At 45.4% G+C, this 22818-nt stretch overlaps 1 long non-coding RNA gene across 1 annotated transcript in view, besides 1 other annotated feature; it reads left to right on the top strand.

Annotated features, from left to right (window-relative positions):
• The window catches only part of LOC105369370 (uncharacterized), a 35372-nt gene extending 12673 nt beyond the window's left edge, over positions 1–22699 (top strand). Inside the window, exons 3-5 of the long non-coding RNA XR_950269.4 lie at positions 16931–17054; positions 17227–17300; positions 17483–22699. This is a non-coding gene — a long non-coding RNA (uncharacterized LOC105369370). The remainder of the gene's footprint in view (positions 1–16930; positions 17055–17226; positions 17301–17482) is intronic.
• Positions 10095–10295: a silencer, noted in NCBI's record as "peak1324 fragment used in MPRA reporter construct". NCBI's record gives its function as "represses an SCP1 promoter by STARR-seq MPRAs in K562 erythroleukemia cells {active_cell/tissue: K562}" and the evidence as "EXISTENCE:reporter gene assay evidence [ECO:0000049][PMID:32103011]".
• Positions 22700–22818: the final 119 nt, after the last annotated feature.

The raw sequence follows: 22818 nt of genomic DNA on the forward strand, positions 1-22818 counted from the left end.
TAAGTATTTAAAGTTCTGAGCTTCCCTCTAACAACTATTGTGGCTGAATCCCACAGATTTTGATAGGATGTATTTTCATTGTCTTTCAATTCAAATTATTTTCTGATTTCCCTCGTGATTTCATCTTGAATTCATGAGTCATTTGTAGACGCATGAAACATTTATAGATATTTGGGGTTTTGCTAGACATCCTACTATTACTGATTTCTAATTAGGTTCAGTTGTTGTCAGAGTACACACCCTACATGATTTCTATTCTTTTAAAATTAATGAGACTTGTTTTCTGGCCCAGCATATGGTCTTTCTTGGTGAAATGTACCACATACAGTTGCTAGGTATAGTGTGCTATAGTTATCAGTCAGATCAAGGTGATGAATAGTTATGTTTATATTAGGTTGGTGCAAAAGTAATTGCGGTTTTTGCCATTTAATTTCAATTAAATAAGTAATTAAAAATAATTACTCATATTAATATATTGAGTAATTATTAATTAATCAATAAGTGTAATTATTAACATTAGTTAACATCATATTGAGTAATTATTATTAATTATTTTACTAATTTCTTATATATTTGTTCTTTTAATTGCTGAGAAAGGGTATTAAAATCTCTCTTTGTGATAGTGGGATTTGTGTGCATTTCTTCCCTTTATTAATTTTGTTTATATATTTTGAAGCTATATTATATATTTTAGACAAATCAAAATTTACACTTTTATGCCTTTCTAATCATTCCTTTTATTATGTAAAATGTCTCTCCTTATCTCTGATATTGCTGTATTGAAAGTTATTAATATTAATATCAACATAAGTATTAATATTAATCTATATGAGTAATTAAAAATAATTGCTCATAATATAATATTAAGTAATTATTATTAATTAACTGATCAATATGCATAATTATTAACATTAGTTAACATCTTATTGAGTAATTATTATTAATAATGTCTCATATTGATTAATTAATATCATTATAGCCACCCTGACATCTTGTGTTTATTCTTTGCATCTTGTGTTTATTCTTTTCAGTTTATTTACTTTTGTCTTATTTGTGTTTTTGTATTCAAAGTAAATCTCTTGTAGGCAGCACATAATTGGGTGTTGCTTTTAAAAATCCATATTGTCAATTTCTTCCTTTTCATTGGAGTGTTTAGAACATTAACATTTAATGCTGATCTTTTCTCTTTTTTGGTTCCTTTATTCCCCTTTCTCTGCATGCTTTTGGATTATTTGAATATTTTATAGTATTCCATATTAATTTATCTGTTGGCTGTTTGGCTGCATTTCCCTGTGTGTATGTAGTTGCTCTATGCATGGTTTCTTTGATTCTATCCTGTTTGGGGTTCTCTGAGTTTCTTGAATCTGTAAACTTATGTCTTACACTAAATATATAAGATTTTCAGTCATGTCTTCAAAGATTTTTCTGCTCCCATCTCACTCTCCTCTCTTTCTGGACTAGTTATAATGTTTAAGAGCTTTGGATATGGCTTCACAGGTTCCTGATGCTCTTTGTTCCTTTCCTTCTTCAATCTTTTTTTCCTCTGTGTCCTTCTGATTGACTCATTTTATTGATCTATGGGTTTGCTGACTTTTGCCTTTCTCATTTCCATTCTGCTATTGATCCATCCAGTGATTTTTAAACATTTCAAATATTTTCTTTGTTATTTCTAAAATTCCAATATCCTCTTTTAATACTTTCTCTGCCAGGATTTCTTATTTGCTTATTCATTTCAAATGTATTTCCTTGATCTCATTGAGTAGAGTTGTAGTAGATGCTTTAAATTCTTTGTCTGATAATTTCAATGTCTGAGTCATCTTGGTGCTTTCATCTGTTAATTTTTTTATCCTTTGAGAATGGGCTGCATGTTCCTGTTTCTTTGTATGTCAAATAATTTTGGATTGTATCATAGACAATCTTAATGTCATATTATATAGACTCTACATTCTGTTAAGATCCTCTGAATTATGTAGATGTCTTTGTTTTAGCAGGCTATTGATTCATACATATGTGTGCATCCACATAACCACTGCTATAATAGTCAGGGTTTTCCAGAGAAATAGAACCAACAGGAGATGTGTGTGTGTGGTGTGTGTGCATGGATGTGTGTGTGTGCCTGTGTGTGTGGATGTGCGTGTGTGCATATGTGTGTGTGTGCGTGTGTGTGTGTGTGCGCATGTGTGTGTATTTCTTTATTTACCGTAAGTTATTGGTTCATAGGATTATGGAGGCTGAGAAGTCCCACAAGCTGCCCTCTGCAAGCTGGAGACCCAGGAAAGCCAGTGGTGTAGTTTGAAGGCCTGAGAGTCAGAGAACCAATGGTGTTGATTCCAATCTAGATCTGAAGGCCTGAGAACCATGAGTGCTGACAGAAAGAGACTGATGTCTCAGCTCAGGCCATCAGGCAGAGTTAATTCACCCTTCATCCATCTATTAGTTCTATTCAGACCCACAATAGGTTGGATGGTGTTCACCCACCCTGAGAAGGGCCATCTGCTTGACTCAGCCCATGAATTCAAATGCCAGTCTCCTCCAGACCTTCATAGACACGCCGAGAAATCACTCACTGGCTATCTGGCATCCTGTGGCCCAGCCTAGCTGGCCCACAAAATGAACAATCACAACCACTTAGATCAATAGGTGGATCATTTCTAGTCCCTCCAGAATTCCCACTCCAAGGGTGTACTCACTTCACAAGTAATCATCATTCTGACTTATTTAACCATTGGTTAGTTTTGTCCATTCCTGAATATCACATAAACAGAACCACACAATATGTGTTTTAAAACATCTGGCTTCTTTTCTTAAAACATAGTATCTGTGGGATGCCTCCATGCTGTTAAATGTAGAAATAGTTCATGACTTTTCATTACTGGGTGATACCACATTGCATGAACATACTGCAGTCTATTGATCTAGTCCCTTGCTGATGGACAGCTGGGCTGTTTCCAGTTTAGGACAACAGGCTGGGCATTTTAGGAGGCAGCACAGAGCAGAATGGCTACAGGCATGTCTCTTACAGCCACACAACCCCGACTCAAATCCTAGCTCTGCTGCAGACCAGCTGTGTGACCTTGGGCAAGTGACTCACCCTCGCTGAGCTGCAGTTTCCTCTTCTGTGAAGTGGAGATTATGGTAGCAGTACTTACTCAGAGGGTTGTCATGAGGATCAAGTAAGAAGTCACATGAAATCACAGCCTGCAGCCTACCAGAGCCAGAGCCCAGTAAATGGCAGCTGTTAAATGATTATTGTGGGAGGAGGTAGCAATTATGAATGTCAGCTCTGAAATCTGATCTGAATTCACATTTCAGGCTAAATGAAGCAATCATTAGTAAACACTCAGCATAGGGCTAGCAAATAATAAGCTCACAATTTATTATCCTTATTGATACCTGATATGTAAATACTAGTAGCCTTTACAACAAGCATTCCCATGATAGGTTTTGCCATTTGATAGAGAACAGAACTGTTTCTCAGGGATGTGCAGCATTTCTGGTCACAGAGCAAGAACAAGGTGGTGTAGGGACCCTGCTTATCCTACCCTGCCCTCCAGATGCAGGGACCCCACTCCCACCCACCCCTACAGCCTCACCTTGAGTATCAGAGAAGGTGATGGTGGAGAGCCACCTCCCAGACTGGCCTGGGCTGCTTCCTGGGCCCATTTCTGTCCCTCTCTGGGTTTCACAGCTTCCCATCCCACCCAAAGGTGCACTGGTGCTGACCCTGGGCAGTGCTGTGGGCAGTGAAGGCCGGATGAGGTCCCTGAGTGACAGCAGGCTCTGAATTGCCGCAAGTGTCACCATGGTAAAGTTTCTTTCCTGCTCTGTGCCTCAGTTTCCTCATCTGTGAAGGGGCAATGGTGATAGCATCTGCTTCACAGGGGCCCTGTGGGTGCTGAATCAGAGGGCCCAGGTGAGGTTACGCCTGGGGTCAGGGCAGGGCCACCAGGGGTGTCCGGGGGCCACGCGAGCCTTTGAGAGGTGCCGCAGGTCTTGAGTCCACATACCAACTGCCACCCACACAGGCCGACGTCCCTTCCAACGGTGCAGCGGGGCTAAGGTCACTTGCAATCGTGGAGAAGAGACAGTGACCTGGGGTTGGGGCAGGAGCCTACGTCAAGACAGAGTCACGGATGGGTGGGGCTCAGTCCCTCCCTTGGAGGGAACCCCCCAGGACTGTGGCAGACCCCCTTGCAAGGTCCTCATCGGCTCCAGGGCAGGCCCAGCCTCTGCCATGGGTGTGAGGGAGAGTTGAGGGCTCTATGACGCCCCCCTCCCCAGATAACTCAAGGCCCGGGGAGGGAGCTTTGGGTTGAGATGGTGTCGTCAGGGGCTAGTGGGCAGGTGTGCAAAGCCCCAGGCTGGGCCCAGAGAAATTCAGCAGCAGGTTTCAGGGCAGCAGGAGGTCGGCTGGGAGGGTGGATCCTTATGCATCTCTCTGTCTCATCCCCTCTGACCGCCTCAGCCAGGGGGAGAGAATGGAGCTCGGTGAGCAGCCCCAGTGGGCCTGCTATGAATTACAGGACCCCCTGCAAATTCACACACATGCTTGCCCCCTGCTGTGCTACTGACAGCAAAGGCAGAATCTGAGCTGCTGGGACTTGCCCAAGGCTGCCAGCTGCAGATGCTGGAGCCAGACAGAAGCCCAGGCCGCCTTCACAGTCTGCATAGTTCCAGTGCAACAAGGAACCTAAAGGGTTAACCAGCATTAGCACAGGGCCCAGCAAGTCACTCCCAGGTACCTGCTCAAGAGAACAGAAAACATGTCTGCACAAAAACCTGCACAGCCAAGCTCACAGCAGCACCATCCACAGCAGCCACAGTGCAACAACCCAATGTCCACAGCAACTGACGCACAGAGAAACCAACTGTGGTCTAGCCACACAAGGGAATATTATTCAGCCCTGAAAAGGAATGCACTCCTGGTCCATGCTGCAAACATGCATGAACCTCAAAAACATTAGGCCAAGTAAAAGAAGCCAGTCACAACAAAACTAAATGTCGTAGAATTCCATTTAATGAAATGCCCAGAGTTGGCAAGTCTGTAGAGGGATAGAGTAGAAGGGTGGTTACTGGGGCTGGGGAATGAATGGGGGGTGGGGAAGTTGTGGGGCATGGCTGGAAGGTGTGGAGTTTCTTTCCAGGAGAATGAAAATATCCTAACATTGATTCTGGTGTTGGATGCCCGAGTCTGAATATACTGAAGACCACTGAATTGCACATTTCACATGGGTGGACTGCTGGTTCGTGAATTCCACCTCGATGAAGCTGTGGGTGAATCACTTGAGATTAGGAGTTCGAAACCAGCCTGTACAACATAGTGAAACCCTGTCTCTACTAAAAACATAAAAAATAAAAAATAGCCAGGCATGGTGGGGGGCACCTGTAATCCCAGCTACTTGGGAGGGTGAGGCAGGAGAATCACTTGAACCCAGGAGGTGGAGGTTGCAGTGAGCCGAGATCCTGCCACTGCACTCGAGCCTGGGTGACAAAGCGAGACTCTGTCTCAAAAAAGAAAAAAAGAAAAGTAAAGAATGCTGGACCATGTGGGAAGTGCCTAGCCTTGGGTCAAACCCCTTGCAGGTGCCCAAGAGATGGATGGAGACCACACAGAGGCATGCCCAGCCCAGCACCCTTCCCAAATGCACTGGATATGCATTAGCCGCCCTCCTTATTCTGTGCCTCCCAAAGCACCCACCCAGGTCCAGGCTCTGGGACTCTCAGACTCTGCCGGTCCCCTGCCCTGGGCCAGGTCCTGGGTTGGGTATGGAGAGCTGAGAGCCCAGAGCCAACCAAACCGTGGTGCCCTGGTAGCCTGCAGCTTGTTCATTTTGCTGGCAGCGAGACCCCTTGAGATCCAACTGCCCAAATGAAACATAAAGAGGCCGAAGCGCATGGTGGTAAAAGATGTGAGTCCCCAGATCGAAGCTTGGGGCAATTCTGCATGAGTTAGTTACACCGCTGCAACAAAGACACCTAAAAACACAGGGGCTCAATCCCTGCGTCAAGATCTCACATAAAAGGGAGATAGGCAGCCCAGGGCTGATTGGTGGCCTGACAGTGCCAGGGGCCTGGCTCCTTCTATCTCTCTCCCTCGCCATCCTCAGCAAGTCACTTCCATCTTGGGTCCAAGATGGGGAGGGAGGAGGGGACACCTCTTGCCATTAAGGGCAAGGCTTAAAAGGGCTTATGGAGCTTCAGCTGGAGTGGCCTCAATCAGAACTTATTCATGGCTGGGATGTGTTGCAAGGGAGTCTGGGAAATGCAGTGTTTATCTGGGAGGCCACGTGCCCAGCGAAGCATTATTACATTATTGTACAATAGGATGGGATGGGAGAGAAAGGAAGGAAAGAGGGAGGGGGAGGATGAAGAGAAGGAAGGAGGGAGGGAGAGGAGTAGGGAGGGAAAGAAGGAGGGAGGAAAGAAGGGAGGGAGGGAGAGGAGAAGGAGGAAAGGATGGATGGAAGGAAGAAAGGAAGGAAAGAGGGAGGGAGGGAGGAGAGAAGGAAGGAAGGAGCGAGAAAGGAGGGAAAGAGGGAGGGAAGAGAGAGGGAAGGAAAGGAGGGAGGAAGGAAGGGAGGGAAGAAAGATGGATGGAGGGAGGGAGGGAAGAATAGAAGGAAAGAAGGAGAGAGGGAAGGAGGGAGGAAGGAAGGAGGGAAGGAGGGAGGAAAGAAGGAGGGAGGAAGGAAGGGAGGGAGGGAAGAGGAAACACTGGACTCTAAGCATGTACAGTAAGCATTGTGAGCCTCAGTTTCCTCGTCTGTAGAGAGGGAAGCAGTTTCAAAGGCTGCTTGGAAGACTGATTGACGAGGCACAGTGCACCCGCAGGTAAAGGGGGACTACCTCACTGTTCTCCCGCCCCCGAAGACCTCCATGCTGGGCCAGGAGGACAGAGCGGGAGGTCTGCCCACTGCCCAGGAGCACCCCAGTGGGTGGAGTGAAGACTGGGCTGGCACACTGAGACAGTGGAGTCCACCGGGAGCTCAGGGGACTCAGGGACTCTTCAGCCCCTATCTGGGAACCCACTAGGGTTGGGACCCCTGTGCCAGACCTGGCCCAGCTCGGGGAGGGCTCTGCACTACCCGCTGCCTGTGGTCTGGCCCAGCCCCTGCCAGCACCGGCCCATGGTGATGTCACTCAGCATGCCCAGTGCCTGCAGCACTTCTCTGGTCTCTGGCCCCAGACCCACTGGCCGGCCGGACGCTCGATATATTCTGTTTTGAAAGAAAACAAACTCTTTTGAAACACTGCTGCTGGGAGCACAGGCTGAAAGTCTCGCCCCCACACTCCTTTCCCCTCCCATGGGAGCTGGTGCACATCTGAGCATCGGGGAAACCTGACAGGTGGGGCCACATGTGGGGCAGATGCCCCTTCCCCACCCTCCAAGGCAGCAGACGGGTACAGAGCCCCTGCTGTGTGGCTGCCTGGGATGCAGAGACAGCATTGAGACTGAAGGCAATAGGGAGCTATTGAAGGATTGAGAGGGAGAGTGACTGGGTCAGATAAGTGTCTCAGGAAGTTGGGGCAGTGCGACCCCCATTGGAAACATGTTGCAGTTGGTGTGAGTTGAACTAGGGGCACGATGGGGTGACAAATGTGAATGACATTTAACACAAGAAGCCACGGAGTTAGTGGCCACTCAGGCCCAAAGGGGCCCCAGATCATGCCAAGGCCTCCCAAGGCCGCCTCAACCTCAGGTCTTCATGGCAGGAACTGGGGGCCCCGTTTGGGAGGCTCTGGAGCTCCAGCAGAGCAGAGGGTCTGGGGAAGGCTTGCCAAGGCAGGGCCTTTGCCACATCCATGGTGGGGTGGGATGGGGGGTGGTCCTGAAGGGTCTGGGTGGTCAGGAAGCCCAGCCTGCATGGTCTCCCTCCAAGTGTTGTCAGCGCCTCGGGGGACCTTGGAACCGGGGCTGGGAATGCTCCACCTGCCAGCCTAGAGCAGCATGATCATGCCAGCCTGGCCCCCAAGCCAGTCCAGGGCAGTGGGACAGGGTGACCACAATAGCCTCAGAGGGGCAGAGTAACAATGGTGACCTCCTTCTGAGCTGTCCCTTGCACCAGGGACTCGGCATGGGACTGCTTTCATCCTCCAGAAGCAAGCCCAGGAGGTAGAGGCTGTCGGGGTGCCCACGCTGCAGGTGGGGAAATGGGTCCCACAGAGAAGGAGGACACTTGCTGGAGGTGACAGCCAGGGAGGGCCAGAGCCGGATCTAGCCCCCTGCAAACCTTCTGCTCACAGTTCGCACCAACTGTGAGCCCATAAAGGCATGAATATAAGGGGTGCATGCGTGTGCATGTGTGTGTGCATGCGCAGGTGTGTGTGTGTGTGTGCATGTGTGTGCATGTGCGAGTGTGTGGATGTGCAGGTGCTGGTGTGTGTCTGCATGTGTTTGCATGTGTGCACGTGCGAGTGTGTGCATGTGTGTGCCTGTGTGTGCATGTGCAGGTGCAGGTGTGTGCGTGTGTGTGAGTGTGCATGTGTCTATGTATTTTAATGAAGCCACAGTTGAGAGGCAGGATCTGGCTGGTGCCCTCACTCTTCCGTCACCAGTCCTCACTGTGGGGTCGAGGACAGGCCACACATGGGGCTTCCTTTCCTGTAACCCCATGCGTGAGCCAGCCCCTATTCCCTCAAGGACCCAGTTCTTTCCTTGAAGAAAATGGGGTTCTTATGCCTACTTCTCACAGTGTTCAGGGACTGAGCAGTGAGTTGTGAGGCTGACCACCCAGTGCCAGCCTGAGAGGCCCTGGGGGTGTTGGAAGGGCTCCGTGGTGGGGGGAATGGGTGGGTTGCTCTTCTGGGGCCCCCTCCCCCTTTGCAGGCAGGTCCAGGCTAGAGCACAGCTCCAGGCTCCCTGGCAAGATGCACCTGGACAGGTCTTTGTCCTCCAGCCTTGGGGAAGGACGGGTGACTTGTCTGCCTTCTTGGAGGAGGGTGCAGAGGGTGGGCTGTGGTGGGCATGGAATGAGGGGGTGTGTATGGGTGTGTGGGCTAACCCCTCCTGCCACAGGGCCTTAGCACATGCCATCCCCTCCAGCTAGCATCTTCCCCGTCCCCCGTCACACAGGTAACTCCCACCCCTGCCTCGGATCCCAGATCACGTGTCCCTTCCGGGGAAGCTGCCTCTGACTTCCCTGGCTAAGGCCACCCCCATGTCCCCCAGGGGCCTCTTCTATAGGAGCAGCAATGCCACACAGGGCTGTCTTCTAACATCTGACTGAGGGTGAGGCCCATGCCTTCCTGCCCACCACTTCATCCCTGTGCCCAGCACAGTGGCAGATGTAGGGTGGGCACTCAGAAATGTTTGTAGAATGAATGAAGAGAGGAATGAATTTGGCCAACTCCATGGCCTATGCCCCTGGCTAAGGCAGCCCAGAACTTAAGGTACTTTCCAAAGCAGCTCTGGGGAAGAGCCTCAAATGGTGGGAGAGAAGAAGGTAGGAGCCTAGGCCTGGGTAGCCTCTGAGGCTGGAGGTCTCCAGGGTGGCAGGGTGGCATCATGATCGAGGTCATGGATTGCCTGCATGCTCCCATGGAGCTGCCTGCATGCTCTCATCATCTGGCTGAGGCACCACAGACAAGGGACTCAACTGCCCTGTGCCTCAGTTTCTCCCTCTGTAAAATGGGGATACTAACGCACCCTACAGGACTGCTGTGAAGACTCAAGAGAGTTCATGTAAAGTCCTCAGAACAGTGGCTGGCTCACTGTAAGAGCTGGGTGTTTGTCAGATTTCTTTATTTTTTCCTTATTTGCTTTGAAATCAAGTTTTTTTAAACAATATAAATGACAGATAAATGTTCAAGACATACATGCAAAAGAAACAAAAAAATCTAAAAGAACATTTAAATCCCTACAAATCTCACCTGCCAAAGAAACTACTTATATTAGTCAGGGTTAGGTTCTAGTGTGAATAATAGACACCTCCCCAAATAGCAGTGGACTAAACAACACAGAAATTGCTTTCTCTCTCAAGTGAGAGTCTAGAAATGGGATAGGAGGTGGTTGGTCCTGCTCTGCAAAGCCTTTGGAGACAGTCACCTCCTGACTATTCTCTGAGCCGTTAACCTGGAGGTATGGTTCTTGCCTTTGGGTCCAAAACAGCAGCCAGAGCTCCAGCCATCACGTCCAAGTCCCAGGCAGCAAGAAAAAAGAAGGGATGAACAAAGTGCATGTCACTTGCCTTTTAAGGAAGACTTTTGGAAGCTACAATATGTCCTTTTCTTTATCTTCTTTTCCCATGTGTAACATGGCCACACCTAGCTGCAAGAGAGTCCAGATAGATGGTCTTTACTACAGGTGGGCCATGTGTCTTTTTCACTGTAAAGGGGATCACAGGTAGCTTCCCACGCCCACAAATAAAGATTCACAGATTTTTAAAGGCTGCTTGCAATTCCATCAGGCAGAGGTTTGATGATTTCACCAGTATCAACAGACATGCAGACCATTGCCAGTTTTCTGGTATTACAGCCCCTGACACCCCTGGATGTATCATCTTTGCACCGGGTTGGAACATTCCTTCCCGTAAGTTCCCAGAAGTAGAAATGCTGAGTCAAAGAGGATACACTTTTGACATTTGGACATGAATTGAGAAATTGCCCTTCAGAAAGGTTGGCCCAGTTTGCAATCCTCCTCACCATGCTGTGGGGGCTCAGGATGGAGCTGAGAATGTCCCCAGACCTGAGGCTCAGCTGCCCCTGCTGGGTCCCTCTTGGCATTGTGGGTTTGCTCCCATATTTACTCCAAATTTAGGACTTTTTCCTCCCTTCCCCATGGTAGAGGTCGGGGAAGTGTGCCCCCAATCCTCCCAGTGGGATCCTTGGGGAAGCCCCTGCCTTGGACAACACCAATCATGAGGTCCCAACCCCTCTAGATGACAGCAAGGAGCAGGAGCCTCCCATAGTGCCTGGGGCTGTTGTTTGAGCTAAGCAGGGGCAGGTGCCTGGGGCTGTTGTTTGAGCTAAACAGGGGCAGTGGCTGCCACCCTGAATGAGGGGCTGGGGCAGGCATCCTGTGGGTGATCACCCTGGCCCCTCAATCAGATGGACAAGGAGTACAGCCACCAAGCCTTGAGATGCTGTGCTGCAAATGCCCGGAAATGTGCATCAGCCTGGCTGGGGCAGGCCTGACGGCTCCTAACCGCAGCTGGCAGCAGGGTGCCAGATTTCACTCCAAATAAAAATACAGGATGCCCAGTTAAATCTGAATTTCTGATAAACAACAAAAGTTTTAGTATAACCTAAATACTGTATGGACAAAGGATCGAAGAAAGTGCATGCTACTCGCCTGTTTAAGGAAGCTTCCTAGAAGATGTAACATGTCCTTTCTCCTTTATCTCCCATGGGTGACACAGCCCCACCCAGCCGCATCCTTTACTTTATTTGGCAGCCCTCACTGGCAGCACTGGGGCCCCTGGAAGCAGCAAGCCCAGTGGAAAAAACCTGGACTTTGACACCAGACAGCCTGGATTCAAATCTTGGCCTTTGCCTCTGGTAGCTGTGGACTTCTGGCCTAGTCACTTAACCCCTCTGTCCCTCAGTTTCCTCGTCTATACATATGGGGGCAAGAATAGCACCTACTTAATGAGGGCATAATGAATATTACAGGAAAGACGTCTGCCTTCAGCGACATGGAAGTACAGATTAGCTCTATGCCTTTCCTCTATGCAACGTTCAGAAATGTTGTATACATTTTAACTAACATCCTTTTCAGTGCATAGCTAAGGGGCACGAGAAAACAAGGGAAATCTCTGCGGTGTGGAAATAAAGACAGAATTAAAGCGAAGGGTGGGAAGTTTGTGGGGTGAGGCCGCAGAAGACCTGGGAGGGATCGCTGGTTGTGGTTCCCCGGAGGCTGCAGCCGTGCTCAACAGCCAGGAAGGGGCCAGGGATGAGGCTCCTGTCCCATGTGGGGCAGAGTCAGAGCTGAGCACCCCATGGGGAGCCAGTGTTCACAAAGTGCCTCCCTCTCAGGACACGGGTAAAGGAGGTAAGTCTGCCCACTGGCTCAGGGAAATGAAATGAAGTTGACAGGGGAAGAAAAACCTCTCTACTAGGAACCCATCATCATTGGTCTGTCTTCAGACTGCATTCAGATTGAAATGCCTCTATTTACCTTATGGCCTGGTAACTCTCAAGTCAAGAAATTACCATAGAGAGTGAGCCTGAACCAGTGACCCATGGGGCATCTAGAAGAATCAAACCCAAAACCTCACCAGAGAGACTTCAGGACCATCTGGGATTTCTATAAATAAAGTCCATCGGAAGATGAGCTCACAATAATAAATTACAAACACAAAGGAACTGATCACCAGGAGTAGAATCAGCATGCATGGGTTTAAAACCTCAAAGGCACTGATGTTTGCAGGTGAAGACGATAGAATAATACATTTTTAATGTTCAAGGAACTACAAGGAGGAGTTGAAAACACGGAAATGGCAAGTCATCATGAAGATGAAATAGATATGTTTCAAAATGAACCAAATAGAATTTCTAAAAATTAAAAGTTAAATTAAAGCTCCATGTCTTGAGACTTCTTTGTTTGGGCCATGGTCATGAAAAGGGTTGGGTTAATTCACCCATTGAAACAACTAGAAAATGAGATAAAATGGACGAAATAACGATTTTTTTAAACACAATGCCAACAGGTAGAGCAGGACTGGGGCCCCCGGGAGAGGGAAACACACAAAGTGGGTATGACAACCACTCTGGCTTCCACCTAGTGGCAAGTTTCTGGAGAAAGAAAGAAGGAGGGGCACAGGAGCAAAGCATGGTGGCCCCAGTGTTGAGGACTCATAAATTCATCTGATAGAAAAGTAAAGCAGATGACATGCCAAGGAGCCCAATTAGGCTGACAGTAAAAATAGAAACCAGAAAACAACAGAAATGATACAAAGGTTGAGAAAAAATGATGATCAAATGGTGCTTATATAGCTGATACACTATCCTTCAAGAGCAAGGGTGACATAAAGACATGTTTGGACCCAAAATATTAATAGAATTTACCACTTACTTTGACAGATGAGTGGGTTTTTAAAAATGTGGTGTATATATACGACATTTATTATATATAATGTATTATATATGTACAATATATGATATAATATATACTATATTATAATGATATGTACTATATTATATATAATATATAATAAATACATAATATATTCTAAATGCAATATACAATATAAATATATAATATATAATCTATTATATATGTATTAATATAAATTTATATGTACAATATACAATGTACAATATAATATATAATAAATTATATAATTATATAATTATATACTATCTATACTATATATTATAATATATAGTGTGTATATACTATATACATTATATATATACTATATACATTATATATACTATATATAATATAATATATAGTGTGTATATACTATATATTATAATATATAGTATAGACAATATATTATTATATAGTATATTTATATAAAATACACCATATATTTTACATGTAATATATTATGTAAATATACTATATATACCATAATATGTAGTCTTTTTTGTAAATATACTATATATACCATAATATATAGTATGTTATGTACATGAGGTAGCTAAAGTAGTCAAACTCGCAGAAGCAAAGACTAGAATGGTGAGTGCTAGGGGTGGCTGGTAAGATGGGTGCTAATCACCCAGTATCAATTTTAGTTACGCAAGATGAAGAAGTTCTAGAGATCTCTATACAGCATTATGTCTAAAGATAAGACTGAGTTGGGCATTTAAAAATCTGTCAAGGGGATAGAACTCATGGTAAATGTTTTTTACCACAATAAAATAAGATAAAATAGGATTTACCACTTACGAGATCTACACTGAAAGAAATGCATATATAAAGAAATTGGAAAGAATTTGATGAACATGTGAGTAAATCCTAACAAACATTGACAGTATAAAATACTATTATTATAATAAAATCATACTTTGAAAAATGTGAAAATAATACTGAATAAAATTAACAAGATAAAAGGAAGACAATCTTAAGACTATAAGTTCTTATATTCTTCAGCAAGTTCTTATATTCTTCACCCAATTGGGTGGAGGTAGTTAATTTATACTTACTTAAGTCAAACATGTGTGTTAAACATTGTAAATTAAAGCCCCAAAAGATTAGAAGTCTATTATATAACTTCCAGGTGAGTAGGGGGCAAAACAGGAATGAATGAAACTCAGTTAATCTAATACAAACAAGAGAATAATAATCATAAGAAATACATCAAAAATGGCAAGTCCAAAATGACACCAGTAGATATTACTCCTATAATATTATTAATTACAGTAAATGTAAATTAACTAAAAACACAATTCAAAAGAGTTTGTATGAACTGACTAGAAACAAACAAAATGTAGCTATATGCTGTTTACAAGAGACACACCTATGATGTAAAGACATAGAAACGTTAATGGATGAAAAGTATGTATTAAGCAGAAACTAACCAAGAAGAATCTGATACAGCGATATTAATGTCAAACTAAATGGCTTTTAAGATTATAAAAAAGTGTAGAGGATGATAGGTACAATTTCCCAAGGAGATATAACAATTCGCTAGAATTTATTGCATTTGTCAGTATTGCCTTAGAAGTATCTTTTTTTAATGGCATGATTACAAAGAGAAATAGATAAATTCATAATTATAGAGTGATATTTTAATGGTCTATTTCGATATTTGGTAGTACCACCCGGCCAAAAAAAGAATAGAGCAGTTTAGAATATCACAGCATAGAACGGTATTCAAGAAGACAAACTCTGGCTAAACTACGTGGTTCAAATCCCAGTTCTCTCTCACTTACTGGCTGTGTGTTTGAGCTCAGGAAAATGATTTAACCTCTCTGTGCCAATTCCTCAAAATCAATCTGTTTCCCTGGATAACCCTGACAAATATATAGTACATTTGCAAAATGAATAAACAACAATCAAGAAAAAAAGAGACAAAAAGAAAAAGGGAAGAAATCAGAATATTTAAAAGATAGTGCCTACTTAAGTAAACTATATGCTTAATAAATCTGAAAATGTAAATGAAATGAGGTACCTTTCTTAAAAAAATGGACTCGAGAAATTGAAAACTATATTAGCCCTTTAGCCTCTAAAGAAATTGAGTTGGTAAATTTTGTAAAGCCTTAGCGTGCTTATCTCTAAAATGGTGGTAATAACTGTATGGACCTCAAAGGAGTGCTACGAAGATTAAATGACTCAGTATTTATAAACCACTTGGAACAAAGTCTGGTCCATTGTTAGCAATCTCTAAGTGTTTGTTAAATAAAATAAACTATCCTGAGCTAATGGACATAAGCATATCCGGCCCCTGACAATTAAAGAATAACATTCTGTGTATTCAAGAACATATGGGATATTTATAAAAATTGGCAACGTGTCAGGCCACAGAAGTTCAACAAATTCTAATAAGTGATATAATATAGAACACATTTTCTGACTACAATGAAATTAAGTTAGAAATCCATAATAAAATAACTCAAAAACCCCTACATATTCAAAAATTTTAGAACACACTTGTAATTTGACGCTTGAACAATGTGGGGTTTGGGGTGCCAATCCCCTGTGTAGTCTAAAATCCCCGTATACTTTTGATTCCTTAAAAATGTAACTACTAATAACTTCCTGTCGACTGGAAACCTTGCGGATAACAATCAATTCACACATATTTTGTATGTTATATGTATTGTATACTATAGTCTTATAATATTATAATAAAATATGCTAGAGAAAAGAAAATGTTCTTAAATGCATAAGGAAGAGAAAATATATTCACTATTCATTAAGTGGAAGTGGATCATCATTAAGGTCTTCATCCTCACAATCTTCATGTTGAGTGGGCTGAGGAGGAGGGGTGGAGGAGGAGAAGCGGGGAGGAGGAGGAGTAGGTTGAGGAGGAGGAGGGGGTAGAGGGTGAGGAGTGGGGAGGAGGAGGAGGCGGTGGAAGAGGAGGAGGACGAGGAGGAGTTAGCTTGCTGTCTCAGGGGTGGCAGAGGTGGGAGAAAACCTGCCTATAAGTGGATGCATGCAGTTCAAACCCCTGTTGTTCAAGGGTCAACTGTAATTCAAAGAGAAAAGAAGAAATTGTGGAAATGATACGATGTTTTTAACTAAAAGATGGTAAAATGCTATGTATTGACATTTGTGGGATGCAGTGAAAGTGACATTTAAAGAAAAATTAAAGTCTAAAATGCTTATATTAGAAAAGAAGAAAAGCTAAACTTTTACAAAGCTAAGTGACCAACTCCCCCCCGGAAAAAAAAAAAAAAACATAAAAAATAGGGGAAACTAAAAAAAAGTAAAAAGAAGGAAATAATAACAATCAGAGAGGACATTAATAAGATAGAAAAAAGGAAAAAAACAGCATCAACAAAGCTAATAACTAGTGCTTCGACAACAAAGCTTTGCAAAGATTGATTAAGTTAGAGATGGAGAAACAAAAACAGAAAAGAGAAAAATGCCAAAGGGAATAGGCCAGGTGCAGTGGCTGACGCCTGTAATCCCAGCACTTTGGGAGGCCAAGGCAGGAGGATTGTTGAGTCCAGGAGTTCGAAACCACCCTGGGCAACACTGTGATACTCTGTAATAGTTTTTTGAGCTGATTCCTCTTAAAATCAATCTGTTTCTCCGTATAACCCTGATGAATATACAGCACATTTTACAAAATGAATAAATGACAATCAAAAAAAGAGCAAAGAGAAAAAGGGAACAAATCAGAATATTTAAAAGATAGTGTCTACTAAACTATATGCTTAATAAATCTGAAAATGTAAATGAATTGGTACATTTCTTACGAAACAGACTCAAGAAATTAAAAACTGTGTTAGCCCTTTAACCTTTAAACTAATTGAATTAGTAAATTTTTAAAAATCCCTTTTATTTTTATTTATTTATTTCTTTTTTAAGAGACAAGGTCTAGCTCTGTGATGCAGGCCGGAGGACAGTGGTGTGATCACAGCTCACTGCAGCCTTGAACTCCTGGGTTCCAGCAATCCTCCCACCTCAGCCTCCTTAGTAGGCGTGGCTACAGGTGTGTACCACCATGTCCAGCCCTAAATTTCATTCTTTTTAATTTCAATATTGTTATGTGTTTTCTAATGTTTTATAACTTATTGGTATGGTAGATGTACATGTATACAAATTAAAAGAAAATTTATATATATTTTACTGGGGATGCAAGCTCAAAATTTTTTTTTTTTAAGTAATGGAAGACAGCAAAAGAAGTTTGGAGATTCCTGGTTTAAAGCATTTAAAGCCTCTGTGAAAATTTGCCCAGGTATTTACCTCACAACAGGTCTATGAGTTTGGTATTATTTGTCCTTTCTTACGGATGAGGCAGTCCGGGCTTATGGATGAGGCAGTCCGGGCTTGGAGAGCGGGGCGGAGGGTGGTGGGGGGCCTGGGACACGCTCTCCCCAGTCCAGCCAACACCTGCTTCCTGTTGATGATCCTCACCAGGCCAACAACTTCACTTTCCACACTCAGTGCCACGAAGTGCAGCTCTAAGCTGGGGATTTCTGTGCAGAGATGATCCACTGAGTGCAACCCACCACCGTGCGGACACCACCCCTGCAGAATCATCTGTGAAAACAACCCCAGGCCCAGACATAGGGGCCAGCTAAGCTTCGTAGCCCTCGAAATACAGGGAGTGCCCCCTCTGGACCCTCGAGCCCACAGTCCATCCACCACAGAGGTGTCTGCTGCTCATCAGATAGTTCCTACCAAGAAAATGCTGTGTGAACCCATCTGTGTGGCAAACCGGCACGGGGAGAAAGCTGACTTCCAAGGACGTCTACCAACTGTCACTTGCAAACCAGAACTTGCCTCTTTGTAGATGAAGACTGGCAGGGCTGAAGAAATGATCTCATGTTGAAATTAATGATGAGCTTCAGGGTGAGGTGACTCAGTTCGAATGCTGTTGAATGTTGGTGTCATGGGACTTTTACAAGAAGTAAAACTGGGCTATAAAAATGATCCCCTTCCCCTCACTAGAGAAGGGAGGTTCTATTCCTCTCTCTGTCTTTCCCTCTCTCTATATATACCAAAGGTCAAATCTTTGGTATTTTGCATTGAGTCTTTAATTATTCATTCACTTTGACCTAGTAATTGCACTTCAGAAAAATAAAGGAAAAACTCGGGGCATAAGTGGTGGTTATGGGGGGCAGGGGAAGCGGGCATGTGGTTGTTTTTCTCTTTTATTTTTAAATTTTTTGCTTTTTCTGCATTTCTCAGGTTTGCCCTAATGAGATGCCTGACTTTAATAAGAGAAGAAACCATCAGTGTTTGCAAAGCCCCCTCAGTGTGCCTCACACTCCCTCTTCAGGCACAGCAGGCATCTTCTCTGAGTGCCAGGGCCCCGGTGACCACACACCCACATACACGGACCACCCACTCAACCCCTCAGGGAACACTGCCACCCCCACTTGCTACATCAACTGCCTTTTCACCTTGTTTAGAAGCAAAAGTCAACTCAGGGGCCAGGAGACCCTGGGCATGGGGCTAGGTCTGGGCAAGGTCTCGAGTCAGGGAGAGAGGGGCAAGGAGCCATGTGCCTGGAGTGAGGCTGTGTCCCTGCCCTGGGCAAGTCAGGGTGGCTGGAACCTGCCCTTCTGGAGTGGGCCCCTCGAACTTGTTAGAGTACTTATAACCTCCTGTCTGCACCCAGAAAACCCGCCCAGGAAGCATTTCATGTGGTGAAGAGAGATTCCAAACTGGAACTTGGAGGCTCGTTCCCAGCCCCTCTCTGACGCCGATTTCTTGAGTTGATTTTGCCTGTGCATTGAGCAGTTGGGGCTACATAAGGTTTACAGGATTCTAAAAAATTATCATGACATATGTCAGGCATACCAAAAGTGTAATGAGTCATAGAATAAACACCTAGGCACACCCCTACTCAGCTGAAGAAGTAAAACAGTATCAAGGTAGTGGAAATCCCTCCTGCATCCCTCTTCCCCCTCCCCAGTCTCCCACAACCCTTCCCCACCCCACTCGCAGTGGGGAGAAGCATGGCCCTCAGCTCTCTTTATGCGCTCACTTCTTATATCTCCCTAAACAATATATGAAACAATTTTCCATAAGCGTCACTTGAATACAAGCAGTCTAATATTGTATATACTTGCCTGTAACTTGCTTTTGTTTTTACTTTTCCTCTTGAAATAATGTTGAATTCACAGAAGAGTTGCACAGATGCCAAGTTCCCTGACACTCTTCACCAGCTTCCCCTAGTCTGAACATCTTATATAACCACAGTCCATTGATCAAAACTAAGACATTTACATTGGTGCATCCCCATCAACTAAGTCACACTTTGGCTCAAATTCCACCAGTGTTTCCACTCATGTCCTTTTTGTGTTCCAGGATCCTGGGACTTCAGGACACCACGTTGTATGTAGCTGTATGCCTCCTTAGTCTCAATGTCATGTTAGTGATATCTGATGTGTGTGCTCATCTTCACTGTTCCACGGTATTTTATTGTGTGAAAACAGCACAATTTATCCATCCACTCTCCTATTGATGGACATTTAGGCTGTTTTCAAATTTGCCATTAAAAATGCTGCAGTGGACTTCCTTGTGCACATCTTCTTATGAGCGCTTAGGGCTGGGGTTAGGAGCGGAATTGCAGGCTCACAGGGAAGGGCCAGAGTCGGCTTCACTAGGAAGCAAAGTTGCTTTCCAAAGTCCCTTGGCCAATTTACTCTGGCAAAGTCTGAGTTCCCATTTCTCTATGTTCCTGCAGCACTTGCTAATGTCAGACTTCCAAATTTCTGTAAATCTTGGGGGAGCAGGATGTGAAATGACATGACTTGTTTGAATTTGCATTTCCCTGTTAGGTTGAACAGTTTCTCAATGGTTATTTGTCATCCAAGCTTTGTCTCTAAATTTCCTCTTCTGTTAAGGTTTCCCCCCATTTTTCTATAGGATGATTTTTTTTCACAATTTAAGTGTTTGTGTGTGTATGTGATACTAATAATTCATTATCACTGTAGACATGAAGATGTGCCTCTGACATTTCCCTTAAGGAAAGGACTTGCTAATTGAGTTAAGGAGCTTGAGAGGAAGGGATCATCCTGGATTATCTGGGTAGGCCCCAAATCCAATGATGGTGTCCTTATTAACAGAGGGGCAGAGGGAGGTTTGAGACAGACATGCAGAGTAGAGAGGTGGACAGAACAGAATAGGCAGAGAGGAGAAGGTCAAGTGAGGCGGAAGTAGACATCAATGGCCTGTCTCCTCCCTGGCCAAAGCTGACTGGGCAAGAGAAGGACCCATGAGCTGAGCCAACCCCTGTGGCTGACCAGTGGCCTGGCAGGCATTGCCCATTGAGGAAAGGTGCTTTCACAGGAAGGCTGCAGTACATTGGGGTGGGGTGCCCATGCTGGGCCATGTGTGGGACAAGGAGAAACAGAAGAATCTAGTCTTGGAGAAATGGTGGCCGTGGTGATGTGGAGAGAGAAGCAGGGATGAAGGAGACCTGGGAAGCCCTGGCATTTCCAGATGCCCTGAAATTGAATTGGTAAGTTTTTAAAAATCCCTTCTATTTATTTATTTATTTATTTATTTATTTATTTATGAGAAAGGGTCTAGCTCTGTGACCCAGGCCGGAGGACAGTGGCATGATCATAGCTCACTGCAGCCTCGAACTGAGCACCAGCTGCTTTCAGCTCCTGTCCACAGTGAGCTGTTGCAAGAGTTTCCTGGGGCTGCTGGAGCAAAGTACCCCAAACTGGGTGGCTTCGAGAAGACAGACTTATTCTCCCAGTTCTAGAGGCTGAAAGTCTGGGACGAGGTGTTTGCAGGGCAATGCTATCCCCAGACGCTCTGGGGAAGCATGCTTCCTCACTTCTCCCTGGCTCCTGACAGTTTCCTGTGGGTCTTTGAGGTTCCCTGGCTGGTCGAGGTCTCACTCCTGCCCCGGTTTTCATGTGGCCACCTTCCCTCCATGCTTGTCTGTCCCTGTGTCTGAATTTCCCCTTTGTGTGACACCAGGCTTCTTGGGTTAGGACCCAGACTCATGACTTCATTTCAACTCCATTCCCTCTATAAATACCCTGTCTCTAAATGAGGCCACATCTACGGTACTAGGGGTCAGGCATGAACGTATCTTTTTAGGAAAAATCAATTCATTCCCAATACCTGAGAACTCGTCTTTTGCATCCTTGTAATAGTATTCCCCTTTTATTTGAGGAGTGAGAGTGGGTTTCCTTGCTTGTAACCGGTGGGTCTCCACCACAGTGGTTTGTGGGTGCTCACTTCCATGTGAGTGAGGAGCCGGGGGGCCCTGGGGTGTGCTCCCACGGGCTGTGTCTGTCCGCACCGCACAACAGGTGACGGCCAAAGCTGTGGGCAGAAAGTAGAGAACTGGATGCAAGTGTTTGCCAGGTTGGCCTCGGAATGTTAGATCAGCCTCTGGCCCCCCAAACCTCCAGGAAAAGAAGCAGTGGTGGGGTTCAGCCTGAACCCTAAACAACCTCCATGACTGGTCCCGTTCTTATTCCATTTTGTGGGTAGAGACTGGACTGGTGTTTGAAGGTTTCTCACATTATTTTCCGTGTCTATGCCTCCACAGTTTCCTGCGGCTGTCTGCACACCCAGACCAGAGCAGTTCCTGCCTTTGCGCTTTGCACCATTTTCCTTGGTGAACTTCTATTCATCCTTCAAAGCCCAGCAGTAATCATCCTTTAGAAAGTCTTCTTTCAGAGGGAACCAAAAAGGTAATCGCTGGAGACAGACAGATGCTGCCTGAATGCCTGTTGTGTTGTGTGGTTGTGGGAATGTTACTTCACCTCTCCGTGCCTCAGTTTCCTCAGCTGTAATGGGGATGGTAACAGTGTCTAGGGGTACTGCTTGGAATGCACATAGGGAGATGAGTGAAGGCCCAGCACTAGAAGAGTGCAGGCACTAGCAGAGTGCAGGCGCAATTGCTGCTGGGACCAGCAGGTAACTCGCATCCAAGTTACAGTGCCCAGCCCCAGCAGCAGCCTCAGCACCAGGCAGAGTGTGCTCAGCACTGTGGGGGGCCAAGAGGACTTGAGGGCCGCTGGTCTGTGATTCTCTCATCTCTTTTGAGGTTCAGGACTTGGCGTCTCTCCTAGAAGCTCTGGGGAACCTGACAAATCCTCCAGGAGGACACAGAACGCAGGAAGGGCTGGCTCGGGGTGCACCAAGATGGCTGCCCCGAGACACCGTATCTGAGGGCTTGGGTGGAACTGAGGAGAGGGCGGCTGGGAAGGCCATCCGGGAGGAAAGGGCAGACGGCTACGGCAGCGTCAGGTGGTACAGTTTGCCCCGGAAGTGAGGTAAAGAAGAGAGCGGGAGGAGAGAGGGCCACATGCCTCTCAGCCATGGCCCTGAATGCTGGCTTGGCTGAGCCTCATCTTTGCTGTTTGCAGAATGGGGAGAATTGTGCCTGCCCAGCCTCCTCCTTGGGGACTCCAGGGGCCCAAAGAACCAAGAGCTGCAAATGTCCTGGTGGCCTTGGAAGTTTATGGATGGTACAGATCTGGGGTGGAGGGCATGGCCAGGACAGGGAGGGCTGTCAGAGAGAGGGTCTGTGGGTTTGTGGAGTGTGGGGATCAGTCGCTGACTCATTAGATGAACCAGGAGCCTGCATGCTACAGCCCACCTGCCAAATCTTGCCCCCACCTGCTTTTTAAAATAAAGTTTTATTGGAACATGGCCATGCCCATTCTTGTACATGTTGTCTATGCTGCTTTGCTTTCCAATGCCAGAGTCGGGGAGCTCTGGCAGAGACTTCAGGACCGCGAAACCAAAAACATTGACCATCTGCCACTTAC

Source organism: Homo sapiens, chromosome 11 (genome assembly GCF_000001405.40).
Source record: "Homo sapiens chromosome 11, GRCh38.p14 Primary Assembly".
Taxonomy (NCBI): Eukaryota; Metazoa; Chordata; class Mammalia; order Primates; family Hominidae; genus Homo; species Homo sapiens.